The sequence below is a fragment of the Homo sapiens genome, chromosome 16 (genome assembly GCF_000001405.40).
Source record: "Homo sapiens chromosome 16, GRCh38.p14 Primary Assembly".
Taxonomy (NCBI): domain Eukaryota; kingdom Metazoa; phylum Chordata; class Mammalia; order Primates; family Hominidae; genus Homo; species Homo sapiens.
In genome coordinates this window covers 14,897,169-14,917,426 of record NC_000016.10, presented here as the reverse complement: position 1 = coordinate 14,917,426, position 20,258 = coordinate 14,897,169, and the positions used below count along the sequence as shown (strand labels likewise).

General features: G+C 52.0%; 1 long non-coding RNA gene, 3 other non-coding genes and 1 pseudogene across 5 annotated transcripts in view, besides 1 other annotated feature; 1 reads left to right on the top strand and 4 right to left on the bottom strand.

Moving 5' to 3' along the window:
* Nucleotides 1–5,665, bottom strand: part of PKD1P3-NPIPA1 (PKD1P3-NPIPA1 readthrough) — a 40,299-nt pseudogene extending 34,634 nt beyond the window's left edge. Inside the window, exon 1 of the transcript NR_146231.1 lies at nt 5,520–5,665. The product of NR_146231.1 is annotated as a PKD1P3-NPIPA1 readthrough (transcript). The remainder of the gene's footprint in view (nt 1–5,519) is intronic.
* Nucleotides 10–20,116, top strand: LOC101927469 (uncharacterized). Its single transcript, XR_933116.3, has 4 exons — nt 10–4,117; nt 12,048–12,267; nt 13,030–13,109; nt 19,822–20,116. It is a non-coding gene; the product is annotated as an uncharacterized LOC101927469 (long non-coding RNA).
* Nucleotides 3,238–4,025: an enhancer, noted in NCBI's record as "H3K27ac-H3K4me1 hESC enhancer chr16:15007259-15008046 (GRCh37/hg19 assembly coordinates)". NCBI's record gives its function as "activates a minimal SCP1, AML or CMV promoter by ChIP-STARR-seq in primed H9 embryonic stem cells {active_cell/tissue: H9 hESC(primed)}" and the evidence as "EXISTENCE:reporter gene assay evidence [ECO:0000049][PMID:30033119]".
* Nucleotides 6,114–6,207, bottom strand: MIR3180-1 (microRNA 3180-1). Its single transcript, NR_036141.1, has one exon. It is a non-coding gene; the product is annotated as a microRNA 3180-1 (primary transcript).
* MIR3670-1 (microRNA 3670-1) lies at nt 9,646–9,710 on the bottom strand. The gene has a single exon (NR_037442.1). It is a non-coding gene; the product is annotated as a microRNA 3670-1 (primary transcript).
* Nucleotides 15,836–15,919, bottom strand: MIR3179-1 (microRNA 3179-1). The gene has a single exon (NR_036140.1). It is a non-coding gene; the product is annotated as a microRNA 3179-1 (primary transcript).
* Nucleotides 20,117–20,258: the final 142 nt, after the last annotated feature.

Genomic DNA, 20,258 nt, shown 5'->3' with positions numbered 1-20,258 from the left:
GCTCCCCACTCCCAGAGGTCAGGAGGGGCCTTTCTGATGGAAGACCCAAATGAACACTCATCTGGGGAAACCAAGCCGGGAGAGGCCTGGGGGCCTCAGCCCTCTGCACCCATCTCAGCCCTATGCCGAGTGCCACCTGGACCTGTCCACCCAGGGCCAGGAAGGGCACGGACCCCCAACCCATCCCACGCAGGGACAAGGCCCCCCATCCCCTGTCCACAGTCCCCCACAGAGCCAAGGTCTCCCAACCCTGTCCACAGCCCCCACACAGACTCGAGGGGCCCCCATCTCCTGTTCTGAACCCAACAGGGTGGTCCCACTGTGGGACCACAACCAGGTATGACTGTGTGAGAAGCAGGCTCACTACCAGGCTACCAGGGAGCACAGGGGAGCAGGCGCCACCTTGAGGCATAAACCCAGAGAAACAAGACCTCCAAGACGGCCAGGCACTGGGGCACACGCCGGTAACACAGCACCGTGGGAGCTGAGACGGAAGGATCGCCTGAGCCCAGGATTTTGAAACCACCCTGGGCAACACAGTGAGACCCCGTATCTACAAAAAAATACACATTAGCCAGGCATGGCGGCATGCGCCTGGGGTCCCAAGTACTCGGGAGGTAGAGGAGAGAAAAATCACTTGAGCCCAGAGAGGTCAAGGCTACAGGGAGCTGAGATCGCATCACTGTACTCCAGCTGGGGTGAAACGGCGAGACTCTACCTCAAAAATAAATAAATACATACATAATTAATAAATAAAACATCAAAGACCAGCCGACCTAACTCCATCTAAAATACACAACTTCTACGCAAAATATAAATAAAATTAGAAAACAAACTACAATCTCAGAAAAGCACTAGCAACTTAGACGACATACTAAAGGCCAAAAATACCCTCCTGACACACAGCTAATAAAGAAAAAGTCAACTATTCCAGTTAAAAAGAAGAAAAGGAAACTGGCTGTGGTGGCTTATGCCTGTAATCCCAGTGCTTTGGGAAGGCCAGGAGTTTGAGACCAGGATGGACAGCATAGCAAGACCCCATCTCTACAAGGAAAAAAAGAATCAGCCAGGCATGGTGGTGTGGAGCTGTAGTTCCAACTACTCGGGGGGCTGAGGAGGAAGGATCGCTTGAGCCAGGGAGGTCGAGGCTGCAGTGAGCTATGATTGTGCCACTGCAGTCCAGCCTGGGCGACAGAGCAAGACCCGGTCTCGAAAGAAAAGAAAGAGAAAGCAAGAAAAGAAAGATGGCTGGGCACGGTGGCTCACTCCTGTAATCCCAGAACTTTGGGAGGCCAAGGTGGGTGGATCATGAGATCAAGAGATCGAGACCATCCTGGCCAACAGGGTGAAACCCCGTCTCTACTAAAAATGCAAAAATTAGCTGGGCGTGGTGGCGGGCACCAGTCCAGGCTACTCGGGAGGCTGAGGCAGGAGAATGGTGTGAACCCAGGAGGCGGAGCTTGCAGTGAGCCGAGATGGCACTGCTGCACTCCAGCCTGGGCAACAGAGTGAGACTCCATCTCAAATAATAATAAAAAATAAATAAATAAATAAATAAATAAAAGACATCACTCACACCTGTAATCCCAGCACTTCGGGAGGCCGAGGCAAGCAGATCACCTAAGGCCAAGAGTTCAAGACCAGCCTGACCAACATGGTGAAACCCCATCTCTACTAAAAATATTTTTAAAAATTAGCTGGGCGTGGTGGCGCGCGCCTGTAATCCCAGCTACTCAGGAGGCTGAGGCAGGAGAATCGCTTGAACCCGGGAGGTGGAGGCTGCAGTGAGCCGAGATCACACCATTGTCCTCCAGCCTGGGTGACAGAGCCAGACTCCGTCTCAAACAAAACAAAACAAAAGACATCAGCTAGCTGGTCCAAGCACAGTGGTGTTCACAACGAATTGATCACAGCCAGGTAGAATTCTTCATTCTTTCTCCAGTTCCACTGCTTTGCTTGACCAGCCTTAAAGACACACATACACATTTTTGTCTGGGCGCGCTGGCTCACACCTGTAATCCCAACACTTTGGGAGGCCAAGGCAGGCGGATCACTTGAGGTCAGGAGTTTGAGACCAGCCTGACCAACGTGGAGAAACCCCGTCTCTCCTAAAAATACAAAATTAGCCAGGCATGGTGGCACACGCCTGTAATCCCAGCTACTGGAGAGGCTGAGGCAGGAGAATCGCTTGAACCCGGGAGGCGGAGGTTGCCGTGAGCTGAGATCGCGCCACTGCACTCCAGCCTGGGCAACAAGAGCGAAACTCTGTCTCAAAAAAAAAAAAAAAAAGTATATATTTTTAAAAGACATTGGCCGGGTGCGGTGGCTCACGCCTGTAATCCCAGCACTTTGGGAGGCCGAGGTGGGCAGATCACGAGGTCAGGAGATCGAGACCATCCTGGCCAACACGGTAAAACCCCGTCTCTACTAAAAATACAAAAATTAGCTGGGCACGGTGGTGCATGCCTGTAAACCCAGCTACCAGGTACTCGGGAGGCTGAGGCAGGAGAATCGCTTGAACCAGGGAGTCGGAGGTTGCGGCGAGCTGAGATCATGCCACTGCACTGCGGCCTGGAGACAAGAGCAAGACTCCGTCTCAAAAAAAAAAAAAAAAAAAAAAAAAAAAGACATCAACTAATTGCAGTGTGTGGACCTTATTTGGCTCTTAATTCAAACTATTAAACCAAAAATGTGAACACACCAGGCCTTCGGTGGCATGAAGGAATTGTCTGTTGTGTTAGGTGGGTCTGCAGTATTGCGATGCCCTCCAAAATGCTTGCAGATAAAAGGGTGGCTGGAATTTGGTTCAAAACATGGGTCAGGGCTGGGCGTGGTGGCTCATGCCTGTAATCCCAGCACTTTGGGAGGCCGAGGCGGGCGGATCATCTGAGGTCAGGAGTTCAAGACCAGCCTGACCAATATGGAGAAACCCTGTCTCTACTAAAAATACAAAATTAGCCAGGCATGGTGGTGCACGCCTGTAATCCCAGCTACTCGGGAGGCTGAGGCAGGAAAAGCGCTTGAACCCAGGAGGCGGAGGTTGCCATGAGCCGAGATCGTGCCATTGCACTCCAGCCTTGGCAACAAGAGTGAACTCTGTCTCAAAAAAAAAAAAAAAAAACACATGGGTCAGGAGGGGAAGGGTCGGGGCAGGGAGGGCAGGGCAGGCTCTGGGGTGGGGGGTCTGTGAGTCAGCCACGGCTCTGCCCACGTCTCCCCACGAAGCTTCGAGCCACGCAGAGCAGCACGTTTTGCAGTACGCCATCTTTTCCAAAAGCCACCACCTCTCGGCAGCATCATTAACCCAAGGCAGGCTGTGGCCTCAGAAGCCCCGGCTGTCCTCCACCTGGAACTGGACACAGCTGTCCCTGCTGAGCTTCAGCAGCCAGGGAGCCACAAGTGGAGAGGCACCTGCGTGAGCCCCCCAGGAAGGCTACTGGTGACACCCAGACAGCAACGCTCCTGGACCCTTGAACACCTGCCAGCAGCTGTGATCTGTGTCCTTCACCTCTCCCAGCTTGACCCCTCTTCCCTGGGGAAAACCCAGCCGTCTCCCCGAGGAGGAGTTTGCAGGGTAGACAGCAAAATGGCTGGGCTGCCCCACAGCACAGAGGGTGGCCTGGGGGGCCAGCCAGGGCCTTCACATCCTTCCTAGGGCCCTAGTTTCCCATGGGTCCCCTCACCCCACCTTCCAGAACTCTCCCAGCGGCGGCCCCAGGTGTGTACAGAACAGCACCCACCTGCCCACATGAGGTCACCCTGTGCCCTGTTGCACACTTGAGGGGCCTGGCATTCGGAATCTTGCCAGCTCAGGCTGGGACAGGCCACCAACCCCCAGGGTCCCCCTCCTCCAAACCCCAGGACCAGAGCCTAAGAGGACAACACAAGGCAGGGGCGGGGGCTCCACTGCTGTGCCAAGGGCCTGGAGAACACGGGCCTTGCTCTCCGCTCAGCAGCCACCAGCGCCCTTCTCTCCCGGACAGCTCCCGAGGGGCTGCTCTCATGGACACCATCAGGTGCTGGGAAGCAGGAACCACCAGGACCTGGACAGAGTCCCCAGTGACCGGCCTGGCAGACAGAGGAGCCCTCAGCTACAGCATCACAAACAACGGGTGGGGTAGGTCTGATGCAATTCTGTGGGTGCTGTTGCCAGGCAGGAGGAGGCCATCTCCACAGAGACAGCCGCGAGACACACGCGTCCGCAGTCAGGGAGCGCAGGAGCAATGTGGCCCCGAGGGGCACGGGCTCCATTGGTCCAGGAGAACCCATTCTTCTCCCACCCTCGAGACCACCCAGCAAAGCCCCAAGGACACACGGCTCCCCTAAGGAAGGGTGGCCACAGGCGGGAGTGACCCAGAAACGTTACAAAACCAAATGCCAGAACCCACCCAATGTTTAGCAAGCCTGGGGATGTGCCACGTCCCCCAGGGATCCAGCACGCACCCAAAGAGACACTGTCCCGGCGAGGAGCCTGGAGCCTGGGAAATACAAGGCATCAGACTGGTCCCAAGACTCTCCCCAGCGCTGGGGACAACTGTCTGCTTATCTTAGTCCCCTGCGCCCTTTTCAATCCAACCCTGGGTCCTGGGCACCTCATAGTTCCAAACCCCTGCTATGCACATCCCGGCTGTGATGCCTGGGACAGGTCCTGTCCTGGCTGTGATGCCTGGGACAGGTCGTGTCACCTCTCCAAACCTGTTTCCTCATCTGTGAAATGCAAATCTCCACGGTCCCTATGCCTCGGATGGTCAGAGTCAGGATTCCGCATGACGACCCCCAACAGGAGCCTGGCACAGACCTGGCTCTGGGCAGCGTCTCCATAAAGGCCACCTGTTGTTTTTATCTCCCGAAAGCGAACATGACAAGGCTTTAACCCCCCACGGCAATCCGCCCTCACCCCTGTTCTCAGGATAGCCTTGGAACCCAATAGCAGAGCGCCTGAGGCCCTTCATGACCCCAGCCCACCCGCGAGCCCACCTCCCACCCTGCCCCTACCCCTCACACCTCCCGTGGCCAGCCTCCAGCCTCACGGTCTTTGCTCACACCGTTCACCCCCCTTCTTCTGGACCCACCTCATCGCCCCTTCCTAAGCATCAGCCCAATTCTTGCACATCCATCAAATCCTTGTCCAGACACCTCCTGGAACTCTTCCCTGCAGCCCCCTACAGCCATCCCCACCTCTCCGGGTACCCCGCAGCCCCAGGCCGCATCCCAATTCCTCTCCAATTAGCGACTGTTTGTCCTCCCAGCTGAGCGCGGCCTCCGCGCCCCGCCCCCGCTGGCGTCTGCACAGCCCCCGGGTGGGACGTCTGTCTCCAGACCCGGGGTTTTTCGGCTCCCCGGGGCCGTGCCAACCGCGGCTCCAGGCGTTCCTTATTTAGCAGGGCCGCTGTGCTGCGCCGGAGCCTCGCCCTGGGAGCGTCCTGGCCCGCGTCCTGCTTCCCGTCCCGGGCCAGGGAACGCGCCCACGCCCGCCCGTCCCGCGGCCTCTCCCGGGTGCCGCTGGGCCCGCTACTCACAGCGCTGTGGCGTCCGCGGGGATGCGCAGCGCGGGACCGAGCGTCCGCAGCCCGCGGCCCGCGGCCCGAGCAGTTGACGCGGCAGGCGGCGCCGGGCGCTAGGCCGCAGAGGCAGGGGGGCTCGCAAGGCCCGCAGCCGCGCCCGGGGCCCCCCGCCAGCGCCCCGAGCCACAGGCCCAGGCCCAGGGCCAGCGCCAGGCGGGCGGGCGCGGCGGGCGGCATCGTTAGGGCAGCGCGCGCATGGCCCCGCCGTCCCCAGGCCCGCCCGCGCGCGGAGGCCGCGGCTCAGGCGGGGCCGGCGGACGGCATGGCGGGCGCGGGGCTGGATGGGGCTGCGGCCGCGACCTGCTGCTGAGCGACGCCCGCTCGGGGCTCGGGGCCAGGCCGCTCCGGGAGCTCGGCCGCCCGCTCGGACGTTGGCGCTGCAGTGCGGGCCCCGCCGCGGCTCCTCCTCCTCCTCCCCGCGCGGCGCAGGGCGGACGGGGCGAGGGGGGGCGGGGCGGGTGCAGGCTCCGCCCCCTTCGCCACAGCGCGACCGGGCCAGCGATGAGGGACTGGCATCCGGAGGCTTCACCCTCCGCTCCACAGGGTCGGCAGCAGGGCGGGGCCTCCGGAAGCTCCGCCCCACGCTTTCCCGGGGCGCATGCGACGTGGGGCGGAGCGTCTGGAAGCTCCGCCCGTCGCACTGTAGAGTCGGCCGAGGCGCACGAGGTATTTTTCACGCTCCGCCCCTCTGCAGGCTAAAGTGCGTGGGCGGGAAGCGGTGGGCAGGGTGCCATCTGGCTCCGCCCTTCTCCTGTGGTGTGGGCCAGGCGGCGGCTTCCTCCTCCTGCAGCAGCCACAGGCTCCACTCTGATCCTTCTCCCGCGGCATGGATCCTTCTCCCGCGGCGTGGATCCTTCTCCCGCAATCTCCGTGCGCGTCCCCAGTCAGTACCCGCAGCCTCCCGACGCACCCGCTGGCTCCAAGCCTCCCTACCCCAGGTTTCCTGGCTAAGAGAGAGACAGAGGGAGAGAGGGGGAAGAGAGAGAACAGGCAATGGGAGGTTGATGGTGAGAGCTTATTGAAAGACAAGAGGGAGGAAACCCACATCCTTCATTCCCCATCCATTCATTTATTGCCTTATTTATTCCATTGAATCTTCACAGCTCTAGAAAAAGTGTGCTACAATTATTCCCTTTATTAAATGAGGTCACTGAGGCACAGTTTAAGAAATTTGCCAGCAGGGCACAGTGGGTCACTCCGGTAATCCCAGAACTTTGAGAGGGGGAGGAAGGTGGATCCCTTGAGCCCAGGAGTTGGAGACCAGCCTGGCCAACATGGCGAGACCCCGTTTCTACAAAAATTAGCCAAAATTAGCCAAACTGGCTCACACTTGTAGTCCCAGGTACTCGAGAGGCTGAGGCCGGAGGAGCGTGTGAGCCCAGGAGGCAGTGGCTGCGCTGAGCCGTGATTGTGCCACTGCACTCCAGCCTGGGCAACAGAGTAAGACCCTGTCTCGAAAAAAAAAAAATGGAAAAAAGAAAAAAAGAACTGGCTGGGAGTGGTGGCTCATGCCTGTAATCCCAGCACTTTGGGAGGCCGAGGTGGGTGGATCACCTGAGGTCAGGAGTTTGAGACCAACCTGACCAACAAGGTGAAATCCCATTTCTACTAAAAATACAAAAATTAGCCAGGCGTGGTGGCAGGTGCCTGTAGTCCCAGCTACTAGGGAGGCTGAGACAGGAGAATAGCTTGAACCTGGGAGGCAGAGGTTGCAGTGAGCCGAGATTGCACCACTGCACTCCAGACTGGGCAATACAGTGAGACTCCGTCTCAAAAAAACAAAAAAAATCCTACCACATGTGCTCCACCAAGCTCTGTCTCCAAGGTGGCCTTGGAAGCCACATGGGGAAGGTGGCAGAGACTCTAGGAGCCTGAGCAGAAACCCAGATGATTATGAAAAATGCAGACCTACCCATCCTTATTCACCTGGGACCACCGTGAACTATATCATAAGAAATAAACCCCTATTGTACATACATGCACCATTCGAGTTGGGTCTATTTGTTACAGCAGTTTAGCCAACCCTAATCCACATATACAGTGTCAACAGTGGCTGAGATGACATGTTGCACAGACATGAGAGTCAGAAAGACCTGAGTTCAAGTCCCAGTGATGACATTTACTATCTGTGTGACCTTGAAAAGCTGCCTAACTACTCTCAGACCGTTTCCTCATCAGTTTGTTTTGAGAGTCAAATGAGAAAATTACTAAAAAGCCCTTAGCACTGCATCTAAGATGGGGAAGAGACAGTCAATGAATTCAAGTTTCCTGAAGCCCAGTTGCATCCCTGCCCTGCCCTGGGCTCTGAGAGACAGTTGCCGAAGCTAGTGTTAAAGTGAACTAAATATGGCCTGAGTGGGACTTCGTACTTCTATAGTTGAGTCCTTGTGGACAAATTGCAACCTAGCTTAATAGGTAGACAAGATTGAAAACCTAACTTAGGAGTATGCGCCTGTAACAATAGCTGAGTCTTGGCCAATCCCAGAGGCCGTAGTTCAACCGCTCATACGCTGCTGAGTGTTCAAACTGTACTCAAATAAGGCAAACGCCAACTTGTAACAATCCAGCCATTCTGTACTTCACTTCTGATTTCTGTACATCATTTCCCTTCTTTTGTCCATAAATCTTCTTCCACCACGTGGCTGCGCTGGAGTCTCTATGAATCTGCTGTGATTCTGGGGTCTGCCCAATTCGCGAATCATTCATTGCTCAATTAAACTACTTTAAATTTAATTCAGCTGAGATTTTCTTTTATCACTAATTTGAGCTGGTTTTCTAATGTTTGCAAATGGGAGGGCTGACTAATATAACACTGCTCCAAATATTAACGTCTTTCTCCCAACCCATCACCCAGGCAGAAGTGGTCCAGCCTGGGCAACCCTAGGAGGAGGCTAGCTCTCCTCTAGGAAGGCTTAGGATGCAGCCAGTGGGCAGTAACTGGCTCACTGTCCCCTGCAACTGAAATCAGAACTGGTTCCAGAAACCAAGTTGACCCCCAACCAGTCTTTCCCAAAATATGGCTCTATGCCCATCTCTGGTCAGGCTGGGCTGTTTTCCTGGACAGAGAAGTCTCAGACAAGCAGGCAGTGGTTAGTGGGCTGTGCCCAGGCTGAGAACATTTCCCAGAGAAGATGGCATCTCTGGCAGTCCCTTAAAGCCAGCAGAGGCCAAGTCATGTCCAAGAGGCCAAAAGGCCCAATATGGTGGAGACAGTATACAGTCCCCATGAATAAGGGATGCTGATGCCTTCCCTATGTACCAGGTAGTCACTGCCTGAGGGGCCCAGAGCAGCAGGAGGGCAGAGCCAGCCTGGGCAGGGGCACTGGGCCGGAAGTGGGGCTCACATCCTCAGCACACACACACACACACACACACACACACACACACACACACACACAAGCGAATGCACACACACACACACAAATGCACGCACACACAGATAGGTGCATTCAAACATCACATACACGTGTACATTCCTTGCAAAATCAACTTCTGCTGATAGCACAACAAACAATGGGGCCACAGTGTGGCATGGAGGAAACCCTGGAGTCTGATCTCATTTTTTTTTTTTTGCATCTGTCAGGGGATAAAGATATTTGATAAAAATCCTTGAGTCACATCCCCACCAGGTCCCTGCCTACCTGTAGACCCCATCAAGCCAGCTCCATGGCCCTTCAGATACCGCCTCACTGGGTCCCCAGGGATTGACCTCAGTCCTGGAAATGCAGAAATATCTGTATCTGTCACAGCTGAGACTGGCGGCCTTCCGCCGGCTTTCCTGGAGGCAGAGCTGGAGACAGGGACTTGGGTGGATGTGGTTTTTGTTTTTGTTTTGAAAGGGGCTTTCAGGAGAAGGGAGGTGAGGACTACAGGATGCAGAAGGGGACAGAGCAGAGTGAGAATGTGGTCCCTTAAAGTCCCGCCTTGACCTATCCCACGAGCAGCAGAGAGCACGCCACAGGATCGTCCCCACCGTGGGGCAGGGACCAGCCATTCACGTTGCTGTATCAGTTAGTCACTGGGCCATTACTGGGCATGGCATCCCATCCCAGGCAATGTGGCTCCCATCTGAGGGTGATTCTCTAGAGAAGGACAGCTGTGAGCTCTCAGCAGGTGAGGCTCCAAAAGCAGCTATACCAGTCTAGACCTCAGGGGAAGGGGGAATTCATCTCTAGGCAGGGATGATTTTCATAACATTGAACTCTTGACATGCAGGAGCACCGACCAATCAGAACAGACACGGTGACCAAACAGGCACAGCCACACCAGTGGATACCAGCGGAATGTCCACGCTGCCTCTGCGAAGGGACAGTCCCATGAGCCAAGCCCTAGACCAGCTGTTCTGGGAGCACTGCATCATTGCACTGAATTCTCACAACCGCCCCATAATGCTGGGACCATCCCCATTTTCTTGCCCAACAGCCTCCGTCTCATAGACACTAGGCGGCTCTCCCAGGGTCACACGGTCCAGTCAATAACGGGCAGAACTCGCACTCCGATCTGTCTGGCTCCAAAGCTGCTAAAAATTTTCTACTTGGCCTCACTGGCTTGACAAAGATAAAAAAGAAGGCAAGTCCTTCTTTCCAAGAGATGCTGAGGTCCCTCGGTGACACTAGGTCATGATTTTATCATGTTCAGAGGGCAATGAAAGGGACAGAAAACAAGCGATGTGTGATCTCCTGTCATGTCAAGAGACGCTGTTTTCAAAGAAACGTACGTTTCGCAGAATCAATACGCTGTGGGGCCTCAGAAAGCAGAGGCAGACACACGGCCCCAACCCGTGCACGTGGGAGCCCTGTTACAAGAGACGGCAGAAATTAAACTGAATCACCTGGAGCAAGTACATTGTAAATGTTCAATATTAATGACCCACCTCGGCCCCAAAGAAGAGAGCGTTGGGCTTTGTCCAGCTGTGTGCTCTGTTGTTAAAAGACCACCTTGTGGCCAGGCACGGTGGCTCACACCTGTAATCCCAGCGCTTTGGGAGGCCAAAGCAGGTGGATCACCTGCGGTCAGGAGTTCGAGACCAGCCTGGTCAACATAGTGAAACCCCGTCGCTACTAAAAATACAAAAATTTGCTGGATGTGGTGGCTGGCGCCTGTAATCCTAGCTACTCGGGAGGTTGAGGCAGGAGAATCGCTTGAACCTGGGAGGCGGAGGTTGCAGTGAGCCAAGATCACGCCATTGCACTCCAGCCTGGGCGACAAGACTGAAACTCCGTCTCAAAAACAAACAAACAAACAAACAACAACAGAAAACAATTTGTGCCTTAATGGGCATTCCTTTCCCTTCTTGCTAAGGGATGAGATGATGGCAGAACTTGTGGCCACTGTCCTGGAGGTTGACAAGCTTTTTCTGTAAAGTGCTAGATAATAAATATTTTGTGGGCCACACGATCTCTGGTGCAACTACTCAACACTGCCATTGTCATGCAAATGTAGCCATAGATGATAATAAATGAATGGGTGTGACTGTGTTCCAATAAAACTTTATTTATAAAACAGACAGCTGGCCAGAGTTGGGCAATGGGCAGTAGTTTGCCCCCCACTCCCCGCCCATCCGTCCTATTCCTTGGCTTTTTTGGGTACATCAAGGAGTGCAGTCTGGATGCTGGGCTATTTTATGGCCACTGGGCATAACCTTAACCTGGGCCTTTTGTCTGTTAACCTGGGTCAGTGGCTACGGTGAAGGTCGGGCAACCAAGGTTTAGATGGCTCAGTACACATTCACGCCCACAAACCAAACCAGGAAAAAGATGTGCTAAGTTGAGCATATGACACTGTTGGTACTCAAATGGTTTGTTTTTTTTTTTAAATAAATGTTTAAGTAAATTTTTTATTTTAGAACAGTTTTAGAAAAATGGTGAAAGCAGTACAGAGAGTTTCCATGTACCCCATAGCTTGATGCATTATGAACTAAAGTCCATACTTTTTTTAGGGGGGTGGGGACAGGGTCTTGCTCGTCACCTAGGCTGGAGTGTGGTGGTGTGATCATAGTTCATGGCAGCCTCAACCCTCCACCTCCCCTGGCTCAAGCGATCCTCCATCTCAGCCTCCCAAGTAGCTGGAAATACAGGTGCCTGCTACCATCCCCAGAGAATTTGTTTTTGTTTGTTTGTTTGTTGTTTGTTTGTTGAGACAGGGTCTCACTCTCATTGCCCATGCTGGTATACAGTGGCACAATCACGGGTCACTTGCAGCCTTGACTTCCCGGACTCAAGTGATCCTCCCATCTCAGCCTCCCGAGTAGCTAGGACTACAGGTGCACACCACAAGCCTGGCTAATTTTTTGTATTTTTTGTAGAGATGGGGTTTCGCCATGTCGCCCAGGCTGGTCTTGAACTCCTGGGCTCAACCCATCCGCCGGCCTCGGCCTCACAAAGTGCTAGGGTTACAGGCGCGAGCCACCGTGCCTGGCCACCTAAAGTCCATAGTTGATTCTGATTGCCTTAGTTTTTGCTTAATGTCCTTTTTCTGTTCCAGGATACCACATGGAGCATTTTGAGGAGTGCTGGCCAGGTATTTTGTAGAATGTTCCTCAACTGGGATTTGGCAGATGCTTCTCATCCTTAGTCTTGGCTTGTGTGTGTTTTGAGGAGGAGGACCACAGAGCTTAAGAATCATTCTCAGCACTCTGTATCAGGCACGCATTCTCTCAAGATGACTTGCCGCTATTGAAGTTGACTTTGATCACCTGGCTGAGGTAGTGTCTGTCCGTGTTCTCCACTGTAAAGTTACTCTCTCCTCTCTTTTCACACTGTACTCTTTGGAAGAGAGTCACTATGCACAGCCCACACTTAGGATGTGGGAAGTCCGCTCCACCTCCTTGACGATGGAATAGCTATATAATTTACCTGGGGCCGGGCACGGTGGCTCACACCTGTCATCCCAGCACTTGAATGGGAGGCCGAGGAGGGTGATCACTTGAGGTCAGGAGTTTGAGACCAACCTGGTCAACATGGTGAAACCCCGCCTCTACTAAAAATACAAAAAATTAGCCGAGTGTGGCAGCGCATGCCTGTGATCCCAGCTACTCGGGAGGCTGAGGCACAAGAATCGCTTGAACCTGGGAGGTGGAGGTTGCAGTAAGCCAAGATTACATCACTGCACTCCAACCTGGGCAACAGAGCAAGACCCTGTGTAAAAAAAAAAATTAAATAAAAATAAATAAATAAATAATCTGGAATTCTTCTGCCTGGGAGATTTGTCTCTTCTCTCTTATCTGATCATTTATAGCAGTATGGAATCATGGGTATTTATTCTTTGAATTCTAATCCAATAGTACTTTTTTGGGGCTCAAATTGTTCTGGCTTTGACCCCTGGGAGCTTTTCCATTGGCTCCTGTGTCCCTCTGAGATGCCCCATCACTGCAGCAGTTTCATTTTGTTTCATTTCGCGCCTCCTCACCCTGTGACCCTACAAGATGCTTCAGGTTCTTCTTATCTATTTCCTCCCTCGGTCCTAGGATCGACATTTGTTCAAGAAGCCTGGTTCCTTTTACTGGAGAATGGTGTTTATTGGAGAACAGAGACCTGGGCACCAGAGGTTTGTTGCTACTGGGGTATCCTTGCTTCTAGGCTCTCTTCGCTGACAGCCAGGATTAGTAACGTGTGTCTTACTAATTTGTGTATATGCACATATCCATAAATATTTCTCTATGTAGCCATCTGTATCTATATTGAGCTAAACATGTGTTCATACTGATGCCTGCCACTCTAATCCACTGCCACATGGATCACTCTAGCCTTGCCTCCTTTGCCGACCTGTAAACCTCCCGCCCCCCACCCCATCTATTACTTAATGAATTTCAGTAAGCATGTGAGGTGGGTGGTTATGGAAACCATTTTTGACCTATATATAAGATGGCAGTTTCGTCTGATTTCTCCTAAATAGAAGACGAGTGTGAAATGGTAACATGGTGTCCGTAGGAGTCATATGGATGGACCATGGCCAACCATATTATTAAGGAATATTCATGCATTCATCCATCCATCCATCCATCCATCCATCCATTCATTCACCAGTGAATGAGTAAAGCATTAGGTATTCACCACACTGTCCTCTCCTGGACTTCCCCCTACCTCACTGGCCACTTCCTCTCTGTCTCTTGGGCAGGGCCCTCCTCCCCCATCCTCTGAAGGTTGCACTGTCCCAGGGCTTGGCCCCCAGCCCTCTCCTTTTCTCAGTCTTCATAAGGATACCTATTATTCAATCCCGTGGCCTCATCTGTCATCCAAAAACACTCCCAGCTCACCACGTCTCATCTCCAGCCGTGATTTCTCACCCAGGCTGCAGACTCGGGTGTCTGATAAGCATCTCAAACTCATGATGGCCAAAACAGAAGTCTCAATTTACCTACACATTTCAGTGGTTCAGCTAGAAACAAACGATTCACTTATCGTTGATTCCTCCCTTCCCTCACCTCCTGTATTAAATACATCAGCAAGACCTTTCTGCTCTATCTCTGAAGCATAGCCCCAAGCTCACCACTTCCTGCCACTGTTACTTCCATCACCCCAATCCAAGCCATTGCTGTCTTTTGCCTAAACCAACACAACGTCCTCTTTGCTTCTCTCCCTAAATTCATTCTTGCTTCCCAATAATCCAATCTCCTCAAAATTTAAAGAAGCAATTGTTTAAAAACATACATCAGATCACTCCCCTTTCCCTACTTAAACCCTCCAATGCCTTCTGTTGCCATTAGAATAAAATCTAAACTCCTTTCCAGGGCACCCACATGACCCGGTCCCTGCCATCGTTCTCATCTCTTCCTCTCAATCACTTGACTCTGGCCACCCTGGCCTCTTTGCTATTCCTGAAACTCAGGGAGCTCATTTCCTCCTGGGGGCCTTTGCAATTATGGTCCCCTCTGCCTGGGCAGCTCTTCCCCCAGATCTTTGCATAAACTGGCCCTTCCCCTCCTCAGGTCTCAGCTCAGATGCTGCCTCCTCAGAGAGACCTTCCATGATACCAATCATCCTCTGTCACATTGCCTTGTTCTGCTTCTTTTCTTCGTAACGCCTGGCATTATCCAATAACTTCTAATGTGTGTGTTTACCTTTCGTCCTCCATCAGCACTGTGCTCCTAAGAGCTGAGGCTCGGTCTCTCTCACACCACTAAACCCCCAGTATGCCAAGCAGCACCCAGCACAGGGGAGATGCTCAGTTAATACTTGTTGAATGAATTAATGATGCTCCCCCTAAAACTAAACTTTACAAAGCACCCACTAGACAACAGATTAGAAAACATTTTATAGGCCAGGCGCGGTGGCTCACACCTGTAATCCCAGCACTTTGGGAGGCTGAGGCAGGCAGATCATCTGAGGTCGGGGTTTGAGACCAGCCTGGCCAACATGGTAAAGCCCTGTTTCTACTAAAAATGCAAAAATTAGCCAGGCTTGGTGGCAGGCGCCTATAATCTCAGCTACTAGGGAGGCTGAGGCACGATAATCATTTGAACCCAAGAGGCGGAGGTTGCAGTGAGCTGAGATCACACCACTGCACTCCAGCCTGGGTGACAGAGAAAGACCCCATCTCAAAAACAACAACAACAACAAAATGTCTTCTGTAAAGACCCAGATAGCAAGTATTTTAGGCTTTTTAGGCTACCTGGTCTTTGCCACAACTACTTATATCTGGCACTGTCAGGCAAAAGCAGCCATAATCTGCAAATGAATGGGCATGGCTGTGTGCTCATAACACTTTATTTATAAAACAAGAACAGTGGGCCATAGTTTGCTAACCCCTGCACTAGCCCAGTCTAAGTCTTGAATATCATCTGTGTAATTAATTCACAGTGAGGAGTTCTCCACTGTAATAATTACTCATTCCGTGAATGCATGCCACTCAGGTGAGGCGTTCTTGAAACTCTGAGAGGCAAGAAGCAAAATGTTCTTTCTCCATACCCAGGCACACTCCAGTCTGTGAAAAGGAAGCAAGAGAGGCAGGCTGCAAGTTTGATCACTGGGTGGCTGCTAGCCACCTCTCCCCCTCAGCTCCAAGAGCAGAAACAGGATGAAAACGCAGCAGCTGCCGGCTTCTGTCCTCTTGCCAGCTGCCTCTCTTGCAAGACTAGACAGGGAGGGGCAGCCGCCAGTCTCCGGAGGCACAGACTGCACAGAATTGAGGATCACTTGTTCCAATGCATTCATCTTATCTTACAAAATCTTCAAATTCCAAAAGCACACGTAAGAAGGGCTGCTGTTTCATTCACACAGTGAAATATTGTGCATCTGAAAGAATATGTAGATGGGTGGCATCTTCAACAACCCCAGGATCACAGACGTTTAAATTTCACCCCTTCTACTGCTGTAAGGCACAGCAGAAGGAGTGTAATTTAAACGTCTGTGATCCTGGCTGGGCGTGGTGACTCTTGCCTGTAATCCCAACACTTAGGGAGCCCAAGGTGGGAGGATTGCTTGAGCTCAGGAGTTCAAGACCAGCCTGGGCAACCTAGTGAGAGCTCATCTCTACAAAGATTTTTTTTAAAAAAATTAGCCAGGTGTGGTGGTGCACTCCTGTAGTCCCAGCTACTCAGCAGGCTGAGGCACGATGATCCCTTGACCCTGGGAGATCAAGGCTGCAGTGAGCTGTGATGGTGCCATTGTACTCCAGCCTGGGGAACAGAACAAGAACCCATCTAAAAAAAAAAAAAGAAAGAAAAGTTCATATTCCAACCAAGATCTCACCATTGCATCATCAAGCATAAACACCTGCCCCCACTGAAAAAGTACAGAGGAAGGCAGTCATATCATATCTTCCCTCCTGACCTCACCAAGTTCCAGGGCAGGAAGAGTCTCGCCACCCCAGCACACAGTAGGCCCACTGGAAAATGAGTGCTCCCTTCTCTAGGCATTTCATTGTCATGGTCATAAAGTCAGGTTCATTTTTCTAATGAAAGAGAAAGCCAAAAATGGAGGCTGATTTTTTTCTTTTTTCTTTTTTTTTTTTTTTAGTCTCACTCTGTCGCCAGGCTAGAGTGCAATGGTGTGATCTCGGCTCACTGCAACCTCCGACTCCCTGGATCAAGTGATTCTCCTGTCAGCCTATCGAGTGGCTGGGACTACAGGCGCCCACCACCACGCCTAGCTAATTTTTGTATTTTTAGTAGAGACGGGGTTTCACCATATTGGCCAGGATGGTCTCGATCTCTTGACCTCATGATCTGCCCATCTCAACCTCCCAAAGTGCTGGGATTACAGGCATGAGCCACCACACCGGGCCTGGAGGGTGATTTTGACCAGGCCTTCTCAAGTTTTGGAAGGAAGTGGAGCTCACTTCTCTTCTGTTGCTTTTGCCCACCCAGGATCACTTATTCCTCTGGGTAATACAGCACCCCAGGCACAGGGGCCGCCTGTCACATAAGCGTGGGCATGGCTCATGTGCGGCCAGGCCCCAGTGATTCTGCAAAGGTTGCCCATAAGTCCTTCCCCCGCCCCAGGACTGGCATATTGATGTGGTGGGATGGAAGCTGTCCTTCTGCTGGGTCTGCAGATGGGGGCAATGTAAAGCCTGACATTGCCGGATGATGTCAGAAGCAGAACCCATAGGCAAAAGCCAGCTTTCCAGCACTCCACTCTCAGTTTCCTGCCATCTCCACTTCTGTGGATGTGTGCCCGGCATCTGCCTCTGCCCCTGCCTCTGAGAGCAGTGACTGAGCAAACAGTCCTGGACCTGGTTGAAAGGATGGGCCTGTCTGTTTCTAGCAGAGTGGTCTTTCAGAAAGCTGATTCCTGAAAGTTGGCATCAAGGGAAGCAGAGCCAGGAGGTGGAAATTGAGACTGGGTCCCGCTATGCATGAAGCCAGAGACTCTTGGATTTCTCCGTTACTTGACCAGAGGAATGCCCCATTTTGCTCAAGCTAGTTGGAGTTGGATTTCTGTTACTTGAAACCAAGAGAGCCTTAACTAATACATAACTAGAAATGCATCCATGGTCACTGCCCATTCATGTGACAGACATTTATTGAGCACTATTCCAGTTACCTAATGTTGCATGAGTTACCCCAAAACTTAGAGGCTTAATTCAGTCGTATAAGATATTCACAGATCCCGTGGGTCAAGAATTTGGGAAGACACTGTAGGTTGAACTTTGTTCTCTGCTTTGTCTTTCTTGGAAAGAGAGGACACAGCTTGAAGTCATTACTGATTTGGGACTGTATGTAATGCATATCTGTGCTTCATTGTCACTGTGTTTTTAAGTTTTCTAAACTTAAAACAGCTCATTTTCGGGGGACATAAAGAACCTGGGAAGAGCTCAGCTGGGCAGCACTGACCTGGGGTCTCTTGAGTGGTGGAAGTCAGATGTCATCTGCAGCTGCACTCACCAGAAGGCTTGACCGGGGCGGGGAAATTCGCTTCCAAGCTGGCTCACTCACGTGGTGGCAAGCTGTACATGCTGGGGGCCAGGGGCCTCACCCCTCCCCACGAGGCTGCCTGAGCACCCTCACGCAAGGCAGTTGGCTTCCCGAGAGCCAAAGTGCAATGCCTGTTACGACCTAGCCCGAGAAGTCACACATCATCACTCACTTCCACCACTTCCCACTGGTCGCACAGAGCCAGCCTGATTCAGTGTGGGAGGGGACCACACACAAAGGCAGTGTGCATCCCTGGGGGCCATCCTGAGGCTGGCTGTGTACCACAAACACCCGCCACATGCCAGGGACTGGACACACAGCCTTTGACCCCCACTGAACATCAGCCTAAACAGAAGGCAACCAAGCAAACCTTATCCCCCAAACTCTTTCCAACTCCTCCCTTAGGACGGCCCCTGCTTTTAAGTAAAGGGAATCGTGCCGAATAATTGTTCCTATTAAGGAACTAGATCTCAGGGTTTGGTCATGCAGCTCTTTGGTTACAGAAACAACGCTGATGAAATAATCGAAGGTCCTCCACCATTCTCACCCCCAGCCATGACCCCGTCCACTGCACACAGTGCTCCACGTCACTGTGCCTTTCCTAACTTTACTACAGCTTATACCTGCCTCTCCTGTACAACATCCACGTGACATCCATCTCTAAACCTCTGAGTCATCCCTAGACAAGCTGGCATGTGACTACATCATCTCATTTCATACATCAAGGGCAGGAAAACATGGTGGTTAAGAACTCTTGGACCTGGGTTCAAACCCCTGCTCTGCCACTTGACAGCTGCAAGATTGTTCAGCCTCAGTTTCTTTCTCTGAAAAATGGGGCTGGAAGCATACCTACTTCATGAACTCATGAAGCATCCACATGCATGCAAGGGCACGGCACAGCGCCCGGCACACAGTAGCTCAAGAAAGGCTGGTTGTGCCTGCTGGTGTGCTTGATCCAGAGAGGCAATCACTCATTTGCTTTTTCCTTATTTCCTGAATCTTTGTTTCTCACATTTAGGCCATTAGAGTTAAGCAGAAGGACTGCCTCTTCCTCCAGCCATCTCACCAGTCCTTCCACATACACATGCACATACACACACACACACACACACACAAACACACACACACACACATTCTCATGCTACCTTCGGCCCTTCCCATCTCCTGTAACCCCAGAAAAGAAGACCGAGGTGAAGCCGTTGCCTTAGAATGGCACTGCCCTGGCCAGGTGTGGTGACTCATGCCTATAATCTCAGCACTTTGGGAGGTTGAGGCAGAAGGATCACTTAAGGCCAAGAGTTCAAGACCAGCCTGGTCAACATAGCCGAGACCCTGTCTCTACAGAAAAATCAAATCAAATAAAAAGCTTTTAATTAAAAAAGAATGGCACTGTCCTAAAGCTCCTGAGGTGTCCTCATCAAGGATTTATGGTTGTTTTTACGGCCACTTTAATAGGCAGAAATGTGCACAGAGCAGAGTTCCCCAAGAATCTGCCATCTTAGACCATTTTGTTTTTTAAATACCTCAGCAAACAAGTCTGTCTCATATGACTTTTGTCCCATTCCAAGTCTAATAACAGCCCGGGTGCGGTGGCTCACGCCTGTAATCCCAGCACTTTGGGAGGCCAAGGTTGATGAATCACCTGAGGTAGGGAGTTCAAGACCAGCCTGGACAACATGGTGAAACCCCGTATCTACTAAAAATACAAAAAATTAGGCGAGCGTGGTGGTGGGCACCTGTAATCCCAGCTACTCGGGAGGCTGAGGCAGGAAATCGCTTGAAACCGGGAGGCAGAGGTTGCAGTGAGCCGAGATCACGCCACTGCACTCCAGCCTGGGCCACAAGAGCGAAACTCAAAAAAAAAAAAAAGAATCTAATAACATTAATGTTTACTTCTCACAGGAGGATCAGAGGACTTCTGTCCTGAGATTGCCAGAAAAATGATGAACAGAAAATTATACACAACCGAACAGGCCCAACTTTCAAATGGACTGAGAATGACCCACACAAGTTCCACCGAGGCCAAGGGTGACCTGCAGCCAGCGACAGGGAAAGACTGCCACTTACTGGCGGCCTCCGGAACTGGAAGGAGTGTACTGACAATTGTATCTTTCGCAAGCTCTTAACCTTTATACCGTCAATAAAAACCCCATTAACATTTAAAAGGGATGTTTCTGGGTGTCCACTTGGAATAAGAGTTGGAAAACACTCCAAGAAATGGATTCTGTATTAATATCACATCTGTCCCAGATCTCCAACACTGTTCACTTTCCTTCCACGGTGCCAACACCAAGCTAGCTGATAGGTGGGAACAGGGCAGCTCTGCGGTTGGCCCCCAA